Genomic DNA, 22,695 nt, shown 5'->3' with positions numbered 1-22,695 from the left:
CCCCAGGGAGACCCAAACAATGTGCCTGAATTGGGAAGGAGATTTGGGCATGAGTGAGATACCATTTCATGATGCTGTCTGAAAATATATTGAGTCCACTAAAGGACAAAATTTGGGCAAGTGCTACTTCTGCATTTTATGGCAAGTGTCAAACCTCTTGCCTTGCAAATAGTAGCAAAACAAATCAAAGACAACTGCTTTGGTTCCTTTCTTATTCAAAGTGGAAAAAGTTGGATAAAAGATTATCAGTGATGGTCGGGTGCTGTGGCTCATGCCTGTAATCCCAGCACTTTGGGAAGCTGAGGTGGGCAGATCACCTGAGGTCAGGAGTTTGAGACCAGCCTAGCCAACATGGTAAAACCCATCTCTAAAATACAAAAATTAGCCAGGCATGGTGGCTCATGCCTGTAATCCTAGCTACTCAGGAGGCTGAGGCATGAGAATCACTTGAACCTAGGAGGCAGAGGTTGCAATGAGCTGAGATCACATTGCTGCATTCCAGCCTGGATGAAAGAGTGAGACTCTGTCTCAAAAACAAACAAACAAACAAACAAAAAAACTGTCAATGATAATAACTATCCTGTTACAAATGTACACACCCTTTTTCTCTGAAAGTAGCTATTCATTTTCTCATTTGATCCTCACAGCAAGTCCTGGGGGTAGATAGGGCAGGTATTAACCCTATTTCATAGCTAAGAAAAGAAATACTTAAGTTCACGAGGGTTAAATTCCTATCCAAGGTCACCAGCTAAGAAGTAGGAGATGTGGGTCTTGACCCTAGTCTTCTGATTCCAAATCCTCATTGAGTGACGCAAGCTGTTTTCTCCTCCACGTCTTTGCTCATGTTGTCCCTTCTGCCTGAAACAACTTAAAGCAAAGAAAGAACTTTCTAACAGCCACATTATCCAAAGAAGGAATGAGGTAATGAGCTCCTCATTGCTGGAGAAGGGTAAGCAGAGGGGAAACCAATTGGCAGGGATATTGCAGATGAGATCCAACTATTGAATTGTAGATTGGACCTGACAGTCCTAAAGTCCCTTCCAAACCTGTGATTCAGTATCATTAGCCTAAAAGTACTAAAGCTAGCATATAATCTCTGGACATGGAAGCCAGGCTGAGAGAGCAGAGTGTGGAATATGGATTCTGAACCAGAGGGAACCCTTCAATTCACATAATCTCAGAACATCATAGCCAGAGGGGGCCTTGGCCCAGGTCCCTGGGCCAACTGTCAAACTCCCCTCCCAACAATTACCATTGTGCTAATTAGGACAGCCCCAGCAATCTGAAAAAGAAGAATTTCAAGGACTGTTCTGGCTCTGAATATCTGGAAAAAGGTGCATCTTGGTGGCTCCTGGAGTAGACCAGTCGGGGAGGAAGTTCTAGGAGGGACTCTTACAGAGACCAGCTGGACTAGAGCTTCTCTTGACTCCAAAGACACTTGACCTCAAATTTAGCTTGGTCACTTAACAAGGCTGTTGGGAGAAACAATTCACTTCAAAACTTAACCAGTGAAACACATGTACATGCTATCAACTGGTGAGCAATGGGCCAAACCAACCCCTGCTACTGATTCTTGGAGCAGAGGCAAAAGGGGCAGGGCATGGACTGATACACTTTAGAGTTGCATAGCTTTGAGTTAAAATTCTGGTTCTGTCACTGTTTTTTTTTTTTTTTTTTTTTTTTTTCAGAGACAGGGTCCTTCTCTGTCACCGAAGCTGGAGTGCAATGGCGCATTCATAGCTCACTGCATCCTTCAACTCCTGGACTCAAGTGATCTTCCTGCATCAGCCTCCCAAGTAGCTGGGATTACAGACATCTGCCACCACACCTGGCTCATTTTTTAATTGTTATTTTTTGTAGAGATGGGGCCTTGGTGTTTCTCAGGCTGGTCTCAAATTTCTGGTCTCAACCAATCCTCCTGCCTGGGCCTCCCAAAATGCTGGGATTACAGGTGTGAGCCACTGTGTTCAGCCTCTGTCACTGTCTTGTAAAGTGACTCTGCAAATTAGTCACCTGTCTTTCCCTGTTTTCTTATCTATAATTTGGGAATTATGTAGGCACCCCTCTCAGAGAAATGAGTAAAATAACAGATATATATATATTCACATGGTACAAAATAGGTGTTTAATAAATCCCAATTTGTTGACCAAGTGCCGTGGCTCATGCCTGTAATCCCACCACTTTGGGAGTCCAAAGCAGATAAATCACTTGAGGTCAGGAGTTCAAGACCAGCCTGGCCAACATGACAAAACCCCGTCTCTACTTAAAATACAAAAATTAGCTGGGTGTGATGGTGCATGCCTGTAATCCCAGCTACTCAGGAGGCTGAGGCATGAGAATCTTTGAACCTGAGGGGTGGAGGTTGCAGTGAGCCGAGATCGCACCACTGTGCTCCAGCCTGGGTGACAGTGAGACTCTGTCTCAAAAAAAAAAAAAAAAAAAAGAAAAGAAAAGAAAAAAAAATCCCAATTGGCTGCTACCATCCCAGGTAGTATCAGCGTGTCCAATTACTGAAATATAAATGTTGTATAACATTTAAAGATACATGAAAACACTCGGAAAAAAAAATTTAAGAAATTGCCTACTGTTTTCTTAGATATTTGAGTGAGACCCAAGGGCTAACATTTATTATCCATCATTCAGTACAATTTGAAACAAAACAATGGGAGCCTGTGGGTCATTAATTTGGTTCAAGGGGTTATCGTGCCCAAGTCTAACTCAGTGTTCTTCACAGCTTTGCCCAACACTGGGTTTTCCCCTGCACTCTCCACCCCACGCCCCCTGTCAACATGACTGATGAATTCAATATCCCCCTCTTTCCAGCTGACGAGTCATTGAGCTGACTCCAATCAGCAGGATCCCCTGGTCGCCTGACTCAGGCCTCCCCAGTCAGAGGTAGAGTCTGCGGTGGACAGACAGACAGGTCTGGAGAGGCTGGTAAGTAAGAACTCCCCGAGTGCCTCCGCCAAGAACCGATTTGAAGAGGTTGCCATTCACTCTGTCAGGCTGCGTGTGGGATTCATCAGGACCCAGCCTCGCTTTCTTTCACCCCGCATCAATGTGCCCTAAAGGATTTTTCTTTAAACCTGATTGCTTGGAAGGCATTGTAAGTCCACTGCTTTGTGATTCATCAATCCATGACAGCTCATTATTCCAGAAGCATTTAGGCCCCAAACCAGGAGAGAGGGAAAGGTTTCTTGGTGCCATAACGGGACAAAGGTTCACTGGCTTATTGATTCATGTCACAAATATTTACTCAGCCTGCTATTTAACTATGGAGATGAACTAGGAGGTGGATATTTGCTGGTGGGCCTCACTGTAAAGAAATCCCACTCAACAAAGTAGAGTCCAGAAATTCTGACTTAAGTACTATTAATATTGAACTTCTGAGAAAAGCATTTTACATACATCACCTGACTGACTCTATGATGTCTCTGTATGTAATACAGTATCTTTATTTTACACATGAGAAAACGGAGGCTCACAGGGGCTCAGTGGCTTATTCAAGTTCCATAGCTAGAAGGCAGCAGAAATGGGATTCAACCTGTCTGACTCCAAATCCCATGCACGTAACCATTTTTTACTGCATTACTTGTTCCCACATTTTTTTTTAGTTGTTGATAGGTTAAAAGGAAAACAAAGCTGTTTATGGAAGCATTTGAAAAATATAATGCTCTCAGTTGTAAGAGAATACTGTAGTATTGAGTTATCTGGAATTGCATGGGATGTAACATTCAATGGACAATGGAGCATTTGGTGGCCTGACCTCTCTTCCAAGTTCAGGAGGCCTCTCAAGTTTCAGTCATCAAGGCTCCCCTGGAGCACTGGGATTCTGAACTATTTCCTTATGTACTTCTCCTGGGCTGAGGCTCCTGAGTGTGGCTGAACCTGGTGGCACTCTTCTGCCACATAGAGATGAGGTCAGCCTGGACACTGCCCTGGGGTTTTAATCTAAATAACCACTGGATTAGGCTGCATTCAAGCTGGCAAAAATGTTTATTTCTTATATCTACTTGAAGTAAGCTTCCTTTCCAACAGCCCCCACTAAAAGAGAAGGGATAGAGGGCTTGTCTGTGTTCAGAGAAATCTCTCTTGTATTCATTAGCTGTCGGTAATAGAGGCTGAGTTTTTCAGATCCAAAAGACATGGAGATAGGATATTAAGAGACAATATGGAGTAGCAGAAAATGTATTGAGCTGGGAGTCTTACTCTAGGTCAGAGTCCCTTGTATTCAATACTTCACTCACTGTGTCACTTTGGGCAAGTTGCTTAACTTCTCTGTTTTCATTTTTACATCTATAAAATGGAGATGATAATACTTCTTTATCTTACAGAGTTATTGTGCAGGTCATATATAATAATAATTTTATTCATTCATTCATTCATTCAGTGACTGCTAGAAACTTGATATAATGATGAATAAGACAGTCATAGTCTATGCTCATGAAGCTTACAGTCTAGTGGGAGAGATAGATATAAATCAATCTTGATGGAGAAGTAGTTGTTCAAACAAAAGTTATGAAAAAGTATTATAAGAAAGGAATATAGGGTGCTGTGAGGGCCTATGGCTGAAAGTGTCATTGAAAATGAAACTAGAGGGATGAGTCATAGGTGGTGGAATTAAAGGGGAGAGGAAGGGCATTTTGCTTAAGTAAAGCAGCATGCATGCAGTTGCAATGGAGTTTTGCACAAACCAAGAACGGAGAGAAAGTCAATGTGTAACATGACCATATGGTCCTGTTTTCTGTGGATAGTCCCTTTGTAAACCCAGTGTATTCATTATAGAGCTTTTTTGCATTCCCTAAAGCATCTCTACTGGATGGAGAAATAATAGTCATCTCATTAATGTGGCTGGTGTGTAGTGAGCAAAGTGGGATGTTAGGCTAAACAGGTTCACTTAGATAGATCCAAGCTTTGTAGATCATATTAAGGAGTTTGGTCTTTACTTCAAGAGCAGTAGGCACAAACTGGAGCTTAAAAATTAGATCAGAATACTAGTTAACATTTATTTAGTATTGCTACATGCCTGTATTATGCAATCTGCTTTAGAAGACAGAGGTGCCATTGCAATCTCCACTTTATATACAAGGAAACTGAGCCTTGTACAGATCAAGGGACTTGCCCAGGGCCACATGATGATTAGTGGCGGAGTGCTGATTTAAAGCCAGATGTCATTCCCAAGACTAGGTATTTAATCTCTCTGACACTGACTCCCAGTGTGGAAGCCTTTAGCTATAAATGCATTCTGTTCAAAAGCTACTTCTTTTCTGAGCACTTAGCCAACTTTCATATAGGCATGTTGAAGTAAAGTGAAGCCTTCACAGCAACATCTCCCTACTCTATGAAACAGTAGAACTGAGTGCTAGAACGGACGTCAAAATAGCAGCAATGAAACCCACTGTGGCATCAGTATTTAGGATTCAGGCCCTGGTCCTGCCAGCTGTGACCTGAGTAAAGCCACTTGACTTCTCAGAGTCCATTTGACAACTCTCTAACAGGACAAACCTAGTCCTTTACCAGGAAGAACACACCAAATGTGAAAGGGCCCTGCAAACTGGAAAATGCAATGGTGATAACAACAACCAAACCCAAGAAAAACCTTTGTTAGGAGCTTTCTTCTTACCAAAGGACTGTGTTAAGTGATTTATGGAAATTTTTTTCCATTTACCCTTCAAAATTACCCCACAAAATAGGCACTATTATCATCACCATTTAACACATGTGTAATCTGAGGCCCAGAGAATTAAGTAACTTTTTATTTATTTATTTATTTATTTATTTATTTATTTATTGGAGAGGTGGGGGTCTTGCTATGTTGTTCAGTCTGGTCTTGAACTCCTGGCCTCAAGTAGTCTTCCCACCACAGTACCCCAAAACATTGGGATTATAAGCATGAGCCACTGCGCCTGAAAATAATTAAGTGACTTGTCAAAGGTTACAGGGTTGGTACTAAGAGCCACCAAGCTAGGGTTCTTTGCCATTATATAAGTTATGAAACAGTTTTATGAAAAGTACTATAAGAAAGGAATATAGGGTGATGTGAGGGCCTGTGCCTGAAAGTGTCATTGAAAGTGAAATGGGATGAGTCATAGGTGGTGGAATTAAAGGGGAGAGGAAGGATGTCTTGCTTAAGTAAAGCAGCATGCATGAAGTTGCAAAGGAGTTTTGCACAAACCAAGAATGGAGAGAAGGTCTGTGAAGGTGGTCATATGAACAGGATATAGGCTGTTTTCTGGGGATAGTCCCATTTAAACCCAGAGTCCTTATTAATAGGGCTATTTTGCACTCCCTAAAGCATCTCTACTGGATGGAAAAATAATACAGTCATCTCATTAATGTGGCTGGTGTGTAGTGAGCAAAGTAGAATGTTAGGCTACAAGCTCTGTCCAAAGAGGACAGCATACCACAGATGGCTCTGAACCATTTATCCCGAGAGCTTAAGAGCCCCAAGGATGAGGATGTTCAAGAAGAGAAGTGGAAGGCAGAGAGGCACTGGCTTATGGGAGTCTGTCCAGGAAGAGAAAGTGACCTCAGGTTAAGGCTCACTCACAGGGTGTTGAGGGAGTCCTGAGATGGCCAGGAAGGGCCAGAGAGGAATTGATGATGAGAAGTAAATTTGTTAGGACACAAATGATGGGTTTTGTTTGGAAGATAGATCTCTTTTTTGCTCTGAATAGCATAGTAAATGAGAATATGACTACCATTTTGGTGAGTTCTCAAGTGGATTTTATTGAGGATGGTACAACATTGCTATGTGTTTTCTCTCATCAATCAATCAACAAATGCTGCACAAACCAAGACTCAACTAATGTGATAAGTGCCATATTTTGAGAATTTATTGCCTATCAACTATCATTCCATATTTTTTATACATATTACTCCATTAAACCTTTAAATCAGGCCCTGTTTTACAAATGAAGAAACAGCACAGGAAGTGAAATTCTAAGCCAAAGTTCCCATAGCTGGTGAATGGGTTTGAACCAAAGTTGTTCCACTTCAGAGTTTGCATTCTCAATCACTGGACAAGGTCACCTTCACCGACATATACCAAGTAGAGTGGTCTCAACTCATATTTATAAAGTGCCTGCTCTGTCCTGGGCCCTATGAGTTGCTTTTATATAACTTTATTTAATTTGGCTTTGCCATATAACCCTGGACATGGCACTTAACACTTTTGGTCTATTTCCTCATCTGTAAAACGAGGATAGTAATAGTACTTACCACAGAGGACTGATAAGAGAATTAAGTGAGATAAGTAATGCAAAGCACTTAGTAGAGAGCCTGGCAAGCAGAAAGCACTGGAAAAGTGTTTGCCAAATCAATATTCTGGACAACTGCCTTGTTCTATAGTTGCTTTATCTATTATTCTAATTTTAGCCTGGAGCTGAGAGCCATAAAGAAGGCAGAAGACACTATTTGCTTGCCTCTGGATGACGCAGAAGAGCGACTCTTAGCATCATAGCTACTATTGCTTCTTCTTCCTGATCCCCTGCTGCCTCCTCTTCCTTCTTCTTCATGTACAATAAACTGCACATATTGAAAGCATACAATATGATACGTGTATATACACACCTATGAAACTATCAAAAATAATTAAAATAGGGAGCATATCCATCACTCCCATATGCTTCCCTGTACCCCTTGATGGTCCTCTCCTGTCCTTCTCTACTTGCTTCCTCCAACCTCATTCCCATCCCCATCCACATCCCCGTTTTCATCTCCATTCCCATCCCCATCTACATTTCCACCCCATCCCCATTTGCATCTCCATTTGCATCCCCACTCCCATTCCCATCCCCACTCCCATTCACATCTCCATCCCCATCCCCTTCCCCAGCCTGTCCTCATTTTCACCCCCATCCCTGTCCCCAAATCCATCTCCATCCTCATCCCCATCCCCATCCCCATCTCCATCTTCAGGCAACCATGGATCTGCCTTCTGTTACTGTAGATTATTTTGTATTTCTAGCATTTTACATAAACAAAATCAAACAGTAAATATTCTTTTTAAATTTTGCTCTTTTTAATCAGCATAATTATTTTGAGGTTTACCATGTTATTCTATGTATGAATAGTTCCTTCTTTTTATTGGAATACTATTTCATTATATGGATATACCATATTCACGGATCCATTTACCTGCTGATGAACATTTTAGTTGTGTCTAACTTTTAGGCATTACAAATAAAGCTGTTAGGAACAATAGTGTTTGTATGGACATACGCTTTCAGTTCTCTTAGTTAAATCCCTAGGAGTAGAATGGCTGGGCCACATGACAGAGGTGTGTTTAACTTTACAAAGATGTCAAACTGTTTTCCAAACTGATAGTAACATTTTATGCTTCTCCCAACAATGTATGAGAGCTCTACTTGCTCCATATTTTCTCTGGCACTTGGTATGTTAGTCTTTAAACATTTAGATATTCTAGTAGGTGATTAGCATATCTTACTGTGCTTTCATTTGCATTTTCCTAATGACTAACGATGTTGAGCATCTTTGCATGTGCTTATTTGCCATTCGTATATCTTGTTTTTGGTAGAGTGTTCAAATATAATTTTATTTTTTATTTTTTGAGACAGGGTCTTTCTCTGTCACCCAGGCTAGAGTGCAATGGTGTGGTCATGGCTCACTGCAGCCTCGACGTGGGATCAAGCCATCCTCCCAGTTTCACCTCCCAAGTAGCTGGGACTACAGGCACATGCCACCACGCCGGCTAATTTGTGTATTTTTTGTAGAGGCAAGGTTTTGCCATGTTGCCCGGGCTGGTTCGAATCTTGGGCTGACCCACTTCGGCCTTCCAAAGTGCTGAGATTACAGGTGTGAGCCACCACACCTGGCCTGGTTTGATTTTTTTCATTACTGAGTTTTGAGAATTCTTTATAAATTATGAAAATATTTTCTCCTAGTCTGTGGTTTATTTTTCCATTCTCTAAATGGTCTTCTCACATAACTTAGTGATGATTCATTCTTTTTTTTTTTTGAGTTTTTTCTTCTCTCTATGTTTTGTTTTGGATAATCTGCATATTCACTGTCTTTTTCAGGGTTGGATTTGCCATTAAACCACACAGTTCGTTTTTCAGCTCAGATGTTATAGTTCAATTTGGGTCTTTTTACATCTTTCATGTCTCTACTTAACGTGTTTGACCTTTCCTCTGGCTTCTTGAGCATACAGAATACCCTTTCAATAGCTGTTTTAATGCCCTCGTCTGTTTATTCTGTCATCTGGGTTACTGTCATTTGATTGATTTTTTTTCTCATAATAGATTGAGGTCCCTTCCTCCTGTCTCAGGTAGTTTTCTTTACATGCACATGCTGCTTGTAAAGAAAAATTAAATTGTAGAGAATTTCATCACAAAAAAAGCTGTTATTTGTTTATGTTCTTCCTTGTTGGCAACATTTTATATAGGTTATTCTCATGGCCTAAGATGCAGTATCAACTGAATACTTAAGGGGAACTGAGAGCACATCTCAGGAGTTCCCTCTCTCATTGGCCTTTCTTTCTAGAATACTACCCCTCGAACCCTAGTCGCCTTGGTCTGCCTAGACTATCAGTTTTGTCTCCTCAAATCAGGGTGTCCGCTAGCCTCCATCTGGGTGCCGCATCCTATGCTGTGGCCTAGAAATTCACTCAAGGCTGTAAACTGGGGCAATCATAAGACGTACCTTCTTTTCCTGTTGATATAGTTTGGATGTTTACCCTACCCAAATCTCATATTGAAACGTAATCCCCAGTGTTGGAGGTGAGGCCTGGTGGGACTGATTGGATCTTGGGGGTAGATTTTTCATGGATGGTTTAGCACCGTCCCCTTGATGCTGTCCTCATGATAGTGAGTGAGTTCTCATGAGGTCTGGTCACTTAGAAGTGTGTGGCACCTTCCCCTCCACTCTCTCTCTCGCTCCTCCTCCTGCCAGGTAGTGGGGCTGCTCCCCCTTTGGTTTCCACTGTGACTGGAAGCTTCCCAAGGCCTCCTCAGAAGCAGATGCTGCTATGCTTCCTGTACAGTCTGCAGAATCATGAACCAATTTAACCTCTTTTCATATAAATTACCTAGTCTCAGGTATTTCTTTATATCAGTGCAAGAACAGCCTAATATAGCTGTCTTGCAGGAATCATTGACTTACGTTGCCGAAGTGTCCAATGTCTTGAGAACCATTGTTTTTGTTGTTGTTGTTGTTGTTGTTTGATTTCTCAGTTGTTTCAGGTAGGAGAATAAAGCTGGTCCCTCTTACTCCATTTTGGCCAGAAGTAGATATCCCCATAGTTTCTTTAGGACTCTTTTAGTCCTTTGTCAAACCTCTTATTTTTACAGATTAGGAAACTGAGGAACTATACATCTATTATCTACAGTAGATAATTTGGGATTTAAGGGGCAAAACATGCAATATTTGGTGCTGAGATTGGGGGGTGAATGTCACTAAGGCTGAAGGGGTAGGAAGAAGACAGAGAGTGAAGAATGTTGAATGCCATGTAAGTAGAAGGGATTTTATTTTGTGGTTGTTGAAGGAGGAACTGAGGAAACATTTAAGTCTAGAAACAGCAGAATAAGGCTTAATGGCCTAATTAATATTAACACATCCTTTTTTAAATGCGGTTGAACTGTAGTTACCTCTGATACTAGAAGGGAATTGATAGAGTGAGGAGCTGTGTTTGCTGAGCTCTGGACCATAATCTGATCCTATCTGTGTGACTCTGAGCATATCATTTTATCACTCTTAGGCCTCAGTTTCCATGTCTGTGAAAAATTAATTGATAAAACTGAGGGTCAATGAGGTTGTTTTGAATGTGGTAACAGAACAAGTAAGGAGCAGCACCGAGGCTCCAAATCAGCTCTCAGATAGTTTTCCATGCCTATGATCCTTGAAAGCAGGATTTCATCCAAGAGAGGTAGTAATGACTGGTTGAGGCAAATAGCCACAGGGCCATAAAGATATACATAGTGGTGGTGAAGAAGTCTCCTCTGCCCACCAGCATTCCTTGACCCAGCCGTTATATCCCAACCTGACATGATTTTCTGACAATGAATGTTGAAAGCTGTTGAATGTCAGACACAAAGAGTTACACTTAACCAGCTGTCTGCAAATAAAGAATCAGAGGTCGATTGTGGTGTGCGAAGGTTTATGGTCATATGTTTTAACATAATGTTTTGGGAAAAATTAAATTGTAAAGAACTTCAATACACACACACAAAAGCTTTTATTTGTTTATGTTCTCCCATGTTGGCAAGATTTTGTATAGGCCATTCTCATGGCCTAAGATGCATATCCAGTATCCACAGTATTCCTTATATGTCTGATTGGAGAACACACACTCTTCCTTCAATTCTCAGATCAGTTACTATTAAACTTTTCCTGACTTCCCCAGGCAGATTATATATTTTTTTCCTTTCTTGATTCCTCTGCATTTTGCAAATATTGTCATTTTCATAATTGACTATTTTTTTTTCATTCTGTTTGTCTGTGTCACCCACCAGACTGTGAACTCTATAATGATAGCTATTCCTCATTTGTTCACTGTAGTATCCCTAGAACCTAGGACAATTCCTAGAACTGTTAATGCTCAATAAATATTTTTAGGTAAATGAATGAATGAATGGACATTAGGAATAGAAGGTGAAGTGATATAAGTAAGAGCCCTGCACACGGGCGTTCCCCCTTTCTCATTTGCCTCCCTTGTGCCAGCCTGAGCTTTCATGGGGTATATATGATGTCTTGCTTATTTCTACATATTTACCCTGATAGGTTGTTGCAGAACATGGCAAGGGCTCATCAGATGCTGAATGAACAAACACACTGGACTGCAGCCTTAGTTGCTTTATCTGTTGCATGAAATGGTTGAATTAGATTTCAGTCACTCAACCAGTATCTCCTGAACCTCTACCATGTGTCAAGCACTGAGCCAGGCCGGGGACAGAGGCTCACACCTGTAATCCCAGCACTTTGGAAGGCTGAGGTGGGCGGATCACCTGAGGTCAGGAGTTCGAGACCAGCCTGGCCAACAGGGTGAAACCCCGTCTCTATTAAAAATAAAACATTAGCCGGGCATGGTGGTATGCATCTGTACTTCCAGCTACTCAGAACGCTGAGGCAGGAGAATCACTTGAACCCAGAAGGCGGAGATTACAGTCAGCCGAGATCGTGCCATTGCACTCCAGCCTGGGCAAAAAAGAACGAAACTCTGTCTCAAAACAAAACAAACAAAAAACACCGAGCCTGCATCAATCATGGACAGTGGCATCAAGACTACAGACTAGTAGAATTGAAACAGGGACTATAAAGCAAGGTAAAAAATGAGGGGTCGCATGTTGAGATGAAGCTGAGACTGACAAGGAGTGAATGAGACTTAAACCCAGGCCTTTCCTCTAGAATGGGCAGGTTCTTGGTAGATGGTACAGCTGCAATTATGGAAAAAAAAAAGGTTCGAATATCAACTCCTCTACACCACGCAGCCAGAAGTAACCTTTTTTCATTCAAAATGCTATAGGCCTCTCTCCGAATCCCTTTTAGAATACCAATTCCTTTCTTGGAGGTTGTGATGTTTTATGTGTCAACTTGACCAGACCGGATATTTGAACAGACATTATTCTGGGGGTGTCTGTGAGGGTGTTTCTGGATGAAATTAACTTTAGAATTGGTAGCCTGAGTAAAGTAGATGGCCCTCCCTAAAGCGGACAGAATGCATCCAATCAATTGAAGACCTGAACAGAACAGAAAGGCTGAATGAGGGAATGCCTCCTGCCTGGCACTTGAGCTGAGACACTGATCTTTTCCTGCCTTCAGGCTCCAGCTGAAAAGCTGGCTCTTCAGCTCTTGAGTCGTGAGTTGGCTTTCAGACTGGAACTTACGCCATTCACTCTCCTAGTTCTCAGGCCCTCAGACTCAGACTAGAACCACACTATTGAATTTCCTGGGAATCCAGCTCACTGACTTCAGATCTTGGGGCTTCTTGGCTTTCAAATCATGTGAGCCAATTTCTTATAAGTCTCTTTACACACTCATACACACTGTCTGTCTGTTTATCTATTATCTATCTATCCATCCATCTATCTCCTGTTGGTTTTGTTTCTCTGGAGAACCCAGACTAATATAGGTGGTAAAAAATAAAACAAACAAACAAAAAAAAAAAACTTACCCTTTTTTTTTTTTTTTTTTTGAGACAGAGTCTAGCTCTGTCACCCAGGCTGGAGGGCAGTGGCATGATCTCGGCTCACTGCAAACTCCGCCTCCCGGGTTCATGCCATTCTCCTGCCTCAGCCTCCCAGGTAGCTGGGACTACAGGCACCCGCCACCACGCCCGGCTAATTTTTTGTATTTTTAGTACAGACAGGATTTCACTGTGTTAGCCAGGATGGTCTCGATCTCCTGACCTCGTGATCCACCTGCCTCGGCCTCCCAAAGTGCTGGGATTACAGGCGTGAGCCACCGCACCCAGCAACCTACCCTTTCTTGAGCTAAAACATGACAGGTACTGGGCTAAGTGATTTATAGCCATAACCTTATTTAGTCCACATAACACTCCTCTGAGGGTGGATGTAATTTCTAGCTTATAGATGGAAACTTTGAGGCTCAGAGGAGAGACGCACCATATCCAAGGTCACACAACAAGCAAATGACTATTCAGGTTAAAACCCTGTTTCCTCTAGTTCAATACTCCATGCTATTTCTCCTCTACTCAACCACATCCTTCTGTGCATGTTTTGTTTCTCGATTAGGCAGTAAGTTATCTATGGGCAAAAATTAAGTATAATTATTATTATTTTTTTCTATTTGTTCACTTTTAATTCTTGTGCCGATCATGGTATTTGGCACATGAAGGTGAGGAGGGGGCGGTGGCCGCAGGAATTATTGTATGATCTACTTGGGTCATGGGACTTCTCTGCAGGGAAAGACTTTAGAAACCACCTAACCCTTTCCACCCCTCCCTTTGTTCTTGTTTCTAGACTGATTCCTTTCTTCTCCATGCTGTTAGTAATTAATACATGGCACGTATTCCCCAAGGAATTGCAGGACATCCTGAAGTTTGCACCAAAAGTTTGGGGAGCATACCTCCTCAGGGCACACTTCCACAAGCCCCTTTTGGCACCTTGGTTTTCCTGCCACCTGGGCCTGGAGCCAGATATGCAGTTGGGCTGGAGCAGGGAGTAGAGAGTGTGAGCTAAAGAGCACACAGAGACCCTGACAGGCTCCTGGGGCCCCCAGTGGTTGAACTCTGGTTATAAATAGAAGGAATATGAAGCAGAATGTCTTTTTAATATGCACATGGAATTCATTTATTTAATGAAGAATTTTCCTGGAACAGAGAGCTTGCCGTCAGAGCTGAGCTATTTTTGAGTAGGATGTGAAGGAAAAACTCTGGAGAATTATTTGCTGTTTGGATTTATGCTTTTAAAATGGGTTGTAATAAAAAAGCAAAACTATAGGAACAGAGTTAAGATCAGTGTTTGCCAAGGGTTGGAGGTAGGTGCAAGGGATTGACTGGAAAGAGGTGTGAAGTGACTTTCTGGGGTGATGGCAGCATTCTGTATCTACTGTGGTAGTGGTTACATGGCTGCATATGTTTGTCAAAACGTGTAGAACAGTTCACCTAAAATGTATGAATCTTACTACTATATGTAAATTATGCCTGACTTACAAACAGTGTGTCACCATGTTCTTTCTGAGGGAGAAAAAGGAGTGGGGAATGAATGCTTTCAAACATCTCCTTTGGGTGGGGTTCTTTGTAGCTTCTTTACGTTATTTATTCTATTTAATACCTGCCAAGGACTATGAGATAGAGATTATTATCCACATTTTACAGATGAAACACCTGAGGTTTTGAGAGCTTAAATTAATTGCCCAAGGTCACATATCAGCTTCTAGTGAGAAGTAGGTTTCCAAATTCCACAATGACCTCCCTCCATTACCTGATGTTCATGTAGATGGAGCTTAGAATTAAAGCCTTGAAAATAGAACTGAGTTTTTGCTCCTTGAAAAAATGCTTCAGACAGCTCCATGCTTTCTCTCCAAAATGTTCCCACATTCTATGTTCTTTGACTGTTTCTGGCTGCATCTGGGAAAGGGTCTTAATAAGGTGTTAATGGTCTTTAACAGCTTTATTTAGTGCCCTTAGATCTCCCTTTTTATCAAGCATGCTTGGCTTTGGGTATACTTTGAAATCTTAAAGGGATGGGAAGTCTTCTGTAGGACCTGGTGTCATTCCTGGATCCCATTCCCATGGCTGGCATCATTAATCAATCATGATGCTCTATGAACCCTGACTTGCCCTTGTGATGCTCCGTAACATGGTCCTCTGGGCAGTAATTACTAACAGATTTGAGTTGGCATTCAAGATATCAAAGCCTATTTTGCATACTACCTGTGTTGCTAGGCCTAACCTGGGTACATTTATAAATTGAGGGTGAAATCTTATCTTTTCACTCCTTAGACCTGGAACCCTGATAAGAGTTAATGTCTGGATCTAGAGGCAAAAGTCGAAAGAAAGAACAGGGATTGGAAAATTACAACTGGGTTTAGAGATCAGCTCTGTAACACTTTCCTCTATCTCACCCCAACACTCATTTTCTTCATCTGTAAAATGGGGATAATCATAATAATAGCTATCTAAAGGTGTTGAGGTGAAGCTCATATTGAATGAGATAGCACCCAGAAAACAGAAGCTCATTATCGCTAAGAACTTTCACATGCATTATCTTGTTCAACCTTACAATAAAGTTATGCATAGGAAATTTAAATCTACATTATACAGATATACTTAATTTGTTCATGTCGCACAGTAAAGCTTAAGTTGAGAACTGAACTCAGGCCTGACTCCAAAGCTCATATTGTTAATGACAAGCTACACTGCCTCTTGTTCCAGGCATGGAACAAACAGTATTTGGGATAGTCCCTCCTTTCTTCCAGGTCTGAGAGGATGGGCAAGGACTCAGATCAGGGGCTACCACCACATTAGGCTGGTGCAGGCACTGAAGAGGTGGAAGTAGTCCAGTGTGGCAAGAAAATCTGGGAGTGGTGGTAGGTACAGGTACCAGCACACACCTGTGTTAAGGACCTTATATCTGGAAATGGTTCTTTCAGGGTCCTGCTGGTCTATTTGGTGCCTTTGTATGAATTAGAAAAAAATGCTCCGTTTGGGCAGATGAATCGTATAAGTTTACTCCCTCTGGAAGAACACAGCTCAAAAGAATCAAGGCTGAGTGTTTGGATTCAAAAATTCTTCTGAGCAGAAGAATTAGTACAGTGTGGACTGGATCTCAGCAAGCATTCAGCTCCTCAGCTAATGTGTCTGTGCTGAACATAATTATACAGCAGTACAAAGTGGTCCTGGGTCTTGATGGGATGGAAAGGTGTAGTCTTAAGGAATCTAGGAACAGAAAAAAGATAAATGTCCAGGGAGCAATTTTGTTAGGGAGTTAACACCATTGGCCTGAACCAGAATTGGATCCAGCTCTAAACAATTTCAAAGCCAGTGTGACTGATCATGAGAATCACTTGGGGTGTTGGGGGAGTGCGTCCTGGTAAAAATGCAGATTATCTGCTCCTTCTCCTAAACAATCTAACTCAGTAAGTCTGAGGTGGCCAATTCGAATGATCAGAAAAGTTTAGGAAATACTGCTCTATCTCATGCTTATCACACTGTGCTGTAACTGTCTCTATTAGCAACCCTGGTTACCATCTGGTCGGCTGGACCATGAATGTTTCAAGGGCAAGGCCATGTCTGATTCAATTCCACATCCACAGCACGTAAAGCAACGTCTGGCAGAGCAAAGAACTCACCCATCAATTGAATGACATCATGGCCAATCTACGAGTTCTGGCTTACTTCTCATGCTATTATCACATCTGCCAAGGTAACTAAAACTATGTGTATTCCTTCCTGCCTCCTCACTTCTTCCTATTTCCCTAACCACCATCTATTACTCAACCTAACCCGAAAAAGGACAGGCCTGACACTATGGAAGACGCTTTCAGACTTAAATCTAGAACGTGGCATGTTTCCTGCTATTCACACCTATGTTTGGGTCTGGGCTCCATGATGGTGCATATTTGGGCCTCATTTCTCCCTCTATAAAATGAAACAGTTTTACAACATGATTTCTGAGATCTCTTCCAAGTCTGACATGCTAGAGTCCTCTGACAGGAATCTAGAGTTTCTAGTAAATTCTGTGAGATGTGAAGGCCTTCTTCGAGGCCTCCATATTGGCATCCTTCAGCTTGCTGGTTGGAGCCCAGGTGACGGACAGCTGCAGTCTGGGATTTTCCTGAGGTCGACTTCACTGGTGGGTAGGCTTCGATTACTGGGCATGTTCCAGCAGGCTCAGGGCACCCCTGTGGGCAGGTCAGTAAATACTGGCTGCTTGACGATGTCTTGGATGGGAAGCCAGTTGGATGAGGGATGTGTGCGAAGCCCTGGAAAACGCAGCAGTTCAAAGGCTGTGCTGAGTAGGTTTCCAAATGGACTTACCCTCTCAGACTTTGAATTCCAGCTCCATCGGAAAAACACAAGTGTTTGATTCCAACGGAATGGCTTCTAGTAATAATAATAATAATAAAAAGGGCTTTGATGACTTCTTGGAAATCAGTTTCTATAAAATGGTGTTTTGAGAATTTGAGTGCAAGTCAAGCAGAAACATGGATTGAAATTCTTCCCTTTCATACCCATTCTTTTAAAATATTTTATTTTTAAATATGAAAATAATGTGTGCATATTATTAAAGAATGCAAACACTACAGTAAAGTACAAAATAAAAAGAGCAAGTCTTTCTTCCTCCCTCCCTTCTCATCCTGTCTCATGGGATAATAATTTATTTATTTGTGTGTGTGATTAGTATGTGAGTTAAAATATATATTTTTTAATTTTATTGTGGTAAATATACATAACATAAAATTTACCATTTGCCACTTTTAAGTGTCCAGTTCAGTGGCATTAAGTATATTCACATTATTGTACCTATCACCACATTCATCTCCACAACTTTTTTCGTTTTCCCAAACTGAAACTTTGTATCCATGGGACAAAGCTTCCCATTCATCCCTGGTACTAGCCCCTGGTAGTCAGCACTCTACTTTCTGTCTCTATGAGTTTGACTGTTTTAGGTATGTCAGATAAATGGAATCATATAATATTTGTCTTTTTGTGACTGACTTATTTCACTTACCATAAACAAATTTTGACTATTTTTTATTTAGGTACTAACCTATATTTTCTTTATTTTTGACTATTTTTTTTATTTAGGTACTAAACTATTTTTACCATAACTCTAATTATATGCTTATATCATGTCACTTAACCTCTCAAACTTAAACAGTATTTGTTAATTCCTTGCAACGAAAGATTTAGCATAATTACCTCACATCCAAAATTCCTTTACACTCTTCATCTCTCATGCTATCATTTCTAGATCTTCAAGTAGGTGTTCCTTTCTTCTGAACTCCAGACTCATACCCAACTGCCTGTTTGCTATCTCTACCTGGCAGTCTAATAAACATCTCAAACTTAAAGTGTCCCCAGCTAACTAAATTCATGGTCTTTTGCCTTATCCCACTTACCCTCTCCAATCTGTCTCCATTTTAGTCTTCCCTGCTCAGTGAATGCCACTTCATCTGTGTAGTTGCTCAGCTCTCAAATCTTGTAATCATCTTCCAGTCCTTTTTGTCCTCTTCAAATCTCACATCCAAAGTGATGAAAACTCCTGCTGACTGTGCCTCAAAATATATCCAGACTCTGACCATTTCATACTAACTTGCCCTAGGTTAAATCATCGTCACCTCTCACATGGATTATCGAAATAGTCCAGCTTGTCTTCTGCATCCTCCTTTTCCCTCCTGTAGTCGAATTACAAAATAGTAACCCAAGTGGTTCTTCCAAAATGAAAGTCAGATCATGTCACTCCTCTGCTCAGAATCAGCCAATCACTTTCTATCTCATTCAAATAAAGGTCAAAGTCTTTATAATGGCCCAGGGGGCTCCATACCAGTGATTTTCAAACTTTAATGGGCATAGGATTCAACTAGGGATCTTGTTAAAGTGCAGATTCTGATCCCAAGGGATCTGATGTTGCTGGTTGGAGGACCACACTTGTATTGCAAGACTACACAATCTCCTGCTCAGACCTGCAATTGCAATCCTCCTGCAAAATCCAGCCTTGGGTCTGCCCCCCATTGCTCTCTTCCTCCCTCTTCTTGCTCCAGCCTCGTGGTTCCTTTGTTGCATGCTCCCACCTCAGTCTTTACACTTGCTGTTCTCTCTGCCCAGAACATTTTCCCCCCCAGACATGGGATCTAAGGCTCACTCCCTCCCCTTCTTCAGCTCCTTGTCCAAATATCTGTTTCTCCCATGGCCTTCTCTCATCTCCCTGTTTAAAATGGCAACCCTTCTCTTTATGGCTCTCCCTAGTCCTCATTCCTGCTTATTATTATTTTATTTTTTATAGCAATAGTGTGCAAACTATGACTCATGGGCTGTGGGTCAACTTGAGCCCACTGCTTGCTTTTGTAAGTAAAGTTTTATTAAAACAAAGTCACATACATTTGTTTATATATTGTTTATGACTGCTTTCCTGCTACAGTGGCAAAGTTGTGTGTGACAGAGATGACTTATGGCCTGAAAAATTTAAAATATTTACTATTTATTTGCTTTTTACAGAAAAAGCTTGCTGACCCCTGCTTTGTAGTATTGACCACCATTTGACTTACTATAAATAGATAAGTCAATCATTTATTTGTTTATTGTATGTTTCACCTCGCTAAATTGTAAACTCCACGATTAAAGGGGTTTTGTCTGTTTACTGTTATATTCCTAATACCTAGAAAGATGCCTAGCGTAGTCACTCAGTAAATATTTGTTAAATAAATAATTATTTTTACAAGTTAAAAAATATATATTTAAACTTCTTTTTTTTGTCAGCAGTTTAGACAGCATCAACTGACTTCCCACCAAGTGAGAGGACACTCTTGGACTGCACTTTCTTCCCCTCTCCTTCCACCTTTCTTGACTCCTGATGGCCAACATCATTTTTATATTTTCAGTGTTTATACCAATTACATCCTGTACTATCGTTATTACTAAACCTTAATTGTTTCGCCTATAGGTTGATTCTAAATATTCCAAAGAAGCATATCAAATATTGTAATTGGGCAAGCAATATTTACTACAGAATCTAAGTATGTGATTGAACCCATGGAGAAGAAATGATAACTCTAAGCCATGGGCATAAAGGGCAACATGTCTGTTATCAGGGGTAAATGGATTCGCTTTTCTAACTCTGTCAATTGCTTAAAATCATACATATTTGGGGCATGACTTTTGTATATGCCTTCTAATCTTTCCCAAAGTCCCTAATTAATCTTTTTTTAATTCATAGAAGATATAAATGTCTTCATCAAATATTTAAGATCCTGTGCTTCTCAAACCTATAATGTTTGAAATGGAATTTACTTTCTCCTTTAAGATTTTCACAAAACCTTTAGCTTTTTGTTTTAATTTTGGTGGAATGCTTGTTAGATCTGTTGCATAGCTGTCAACCCTGTCTTTACATTTACTTCTGGATTACTTCCATCGTATCTTGTATCAAGTATGTTTCTCCTTCTTAGCTTCTACTTTCATTTTGCTAGATTATATCCTTAAGTAATTGTTTTTTGAAGTGGAGTTTGGGAGGTAACTCTAGTTGCTCTAACACATTACCACAAATTTAGTGGCTTGAAACAACTCAGATTTATTATCTACAGTTCTGTAGGTTAGACGGCTGATATGCATCCCACTAGGCTAAAATCAAGGTATCCACAGGGATGAGCTCTTGTCTGAAGGCTCTTGGAGTAAGTCTGTTTCCTTGCCTTTTTCAGCTTCTAGAGGTCCACTGGCATCCCTTGGCTTGTGGCCCCTTCCTCCATCTACAACACCAGTAACATTACATGTCCCTGACCATGATTTTGTAGTAACATTTCCCTCTAACCACAGTGTTGAAGGTTTATTGGTTTTTAAAGAAGACGTTGATTCTTTTAATTGACTAATCAAAATGGTATATATTTGTGGTGTATAAAATGATGTATTGAAATATGTGTATACTGTGGAATGGCTAAATCAAGCTAATTAACAAAGGTATTAAAGTATCTTGCTTTTAATGACTCATGTCAAGGTCTTTAATTTGATTGCATCTGCAAAGTTTCTTCTGTAATGAAAGGTAACATATTCACAGTTTTCTGGAAATACAATGTGGATAACTTTATCCGTGGTGGAGGCTAAGAGGAGCCTTGTTTTTTCTACGACCTAACATTTCAGAATCCTCCCAAATACTGGAATTTCTTTAATTAAGCTTCACACTGCTTATAGAATTCTAGGTTCAAAAACATGTCTCCTCAGAACTTTGGAGACACTTGTCCTCTGTCATTTGGGGTCTAGTATTGTTGAAACAAGATCTGAGCGCAGTCTGATTTTTGTCCTTTGTAAGTACATTTACGCTCACATCCTTTGACAGCTTTTAGGACTGTCTCCTTGACATTTTATCAGACTATGACTGGGAGTGGGTTTTTGTTTTGTTTGTTTTTTACATCCATCACATGTCATATTGGAATAGCTCTTTCAACATGAAGAATTGCATCTCCATTTAAGATAAAAAATATTTTCTTCCTGTTTTTTCTTTGATAACATTGGAACTCTCACAGCCTTCACTAATTTCTCCACCTAGTTTTTTCATGTCTGAAACTCTTATTAAAGGAATGCTGATCCTTCTGGATTTATTCTCCATTTAGTTTAAGTTTTAATTTTCTTGTATTTTCCTTCTCCTCACCTTTTGCTGCATGTTCCAAGAGATATTTTTGACTTCATTTTTCAAATTACTAATTTGGTCTTTAACCATAACTAATCTATTACTTAGCACCTCCACTAAATTTCAAAAATGTTGACAAACATAGTTTACATTTCCAAGAACCCTTGACTCCCTCTTTCTCATAGCAACAATAACTTCAAATTTCTCAGAGATTACACATTAAATTTATTTTGAAAATTCTCTTCTGTTTCTTGCTTATTTCTATTCCTCCAGATTCTGTCGTTTGCATTTTCTTAATGTTTGTCTTTTTCTTTCTCATCAGTTTTCCTCAAAGGTGGACCCAGTTGACTTCCTTTTATTTGTGAATCTCTTGCTTGATAGCATACGTAGCTGGCATAGGTTCCCTTTGTAATCCTGCAATCCTGCAGGTTGTTTACCCAAAATGCCTTTTCTCTAGATTGGTGAGCTGATGGTGAGCTCGGTGCAGATGAGTGTGTCTTGCTGAGTGGCAGGCTTGTCTTTATTGTGCATGATGGGGAGCAGGCCAGTTTGCTTGCAGCCCCACAGTGTCCACGCTGAGTTGATCCTTGGGTTGGAGCACTGCAGCACATTTCCCTTCTTCACAGAAGCATCCTTCCTCTCTTTTTTCAGGTCAAGGAAAGGTTGGGGATTTATGCTGAACTCTTCTCTGCCTCCATCCATAGCCCCTGTCCAGACTATGGGCCATCTCCAGCCTAGGCTTGACTCCCTCACCATGGCCCATTCCATAGCCTTCTTGGCTATCCTGTTTTTTCTTCAATAAGATCAGCACACTCATGACCTTCCCTAGCTGACAGCATTCCAGGGATCCATCAGGTGACACAGCGCACACACCACAGTCCTCTGCTTGTGTCTTCCACTGAGTTCTTACGCTCCAGTTTAAGCCTCAGTGATCCCG

The 22,695-nt window shown here is 40.9% G+C and overlaps 1 long non-coding RNA gene across 1 annotated transcript in view, besides 1 other annotated feature; it reads left to right on the top strand.

Moving 5' to 3' along the window:
- Positions 2,758 to 2,817: an enhancer, noted in NCBI's record as "active region_1076". NCBI's record gives its function as "activates an Ori minimal core promoter by ATAC-STARR-seq in GM12878 lymphoblastoid cells {active_cell/tissue: GM12878}" and the evidence as "EXISTENCE:reporter gene assay evidence [ECO:0000049][PMID:35858748]".
- The window catches only part of LOC124904186 (uncharacterized), a 98,825-nt gene continuing 79,043 nt past the window's right edge, over positions 2,914 to 22,695 (top strand). Inside the window, exon 1 of the long non-coding RNA XR_007066107.1 lies at positions 2,914 to 16,844. This is a non-coding gene — a long non-coding RNA (uncharacterized LOC124904186). The remainder of the gene's footprint in view (positions 16,845 to 22,695) is intronic.

Source organism: Homo sapiens, chromosome 1 (assembly GCF_000001405.40).
Source record: "Homo sapiens chromosome 1, GRCh38.p14 Primary Assembly".
Taxonomy (NCBI): Eukaryota; Metazoa; Chordata; class Mammalia; order Primates; family Hominidae; genus Homo; species Homo sapiens.
Note: the sequence above shows the minus strand (reverse complement) of the source record. Positions and strands in the feature narration are given on the sequence as shown.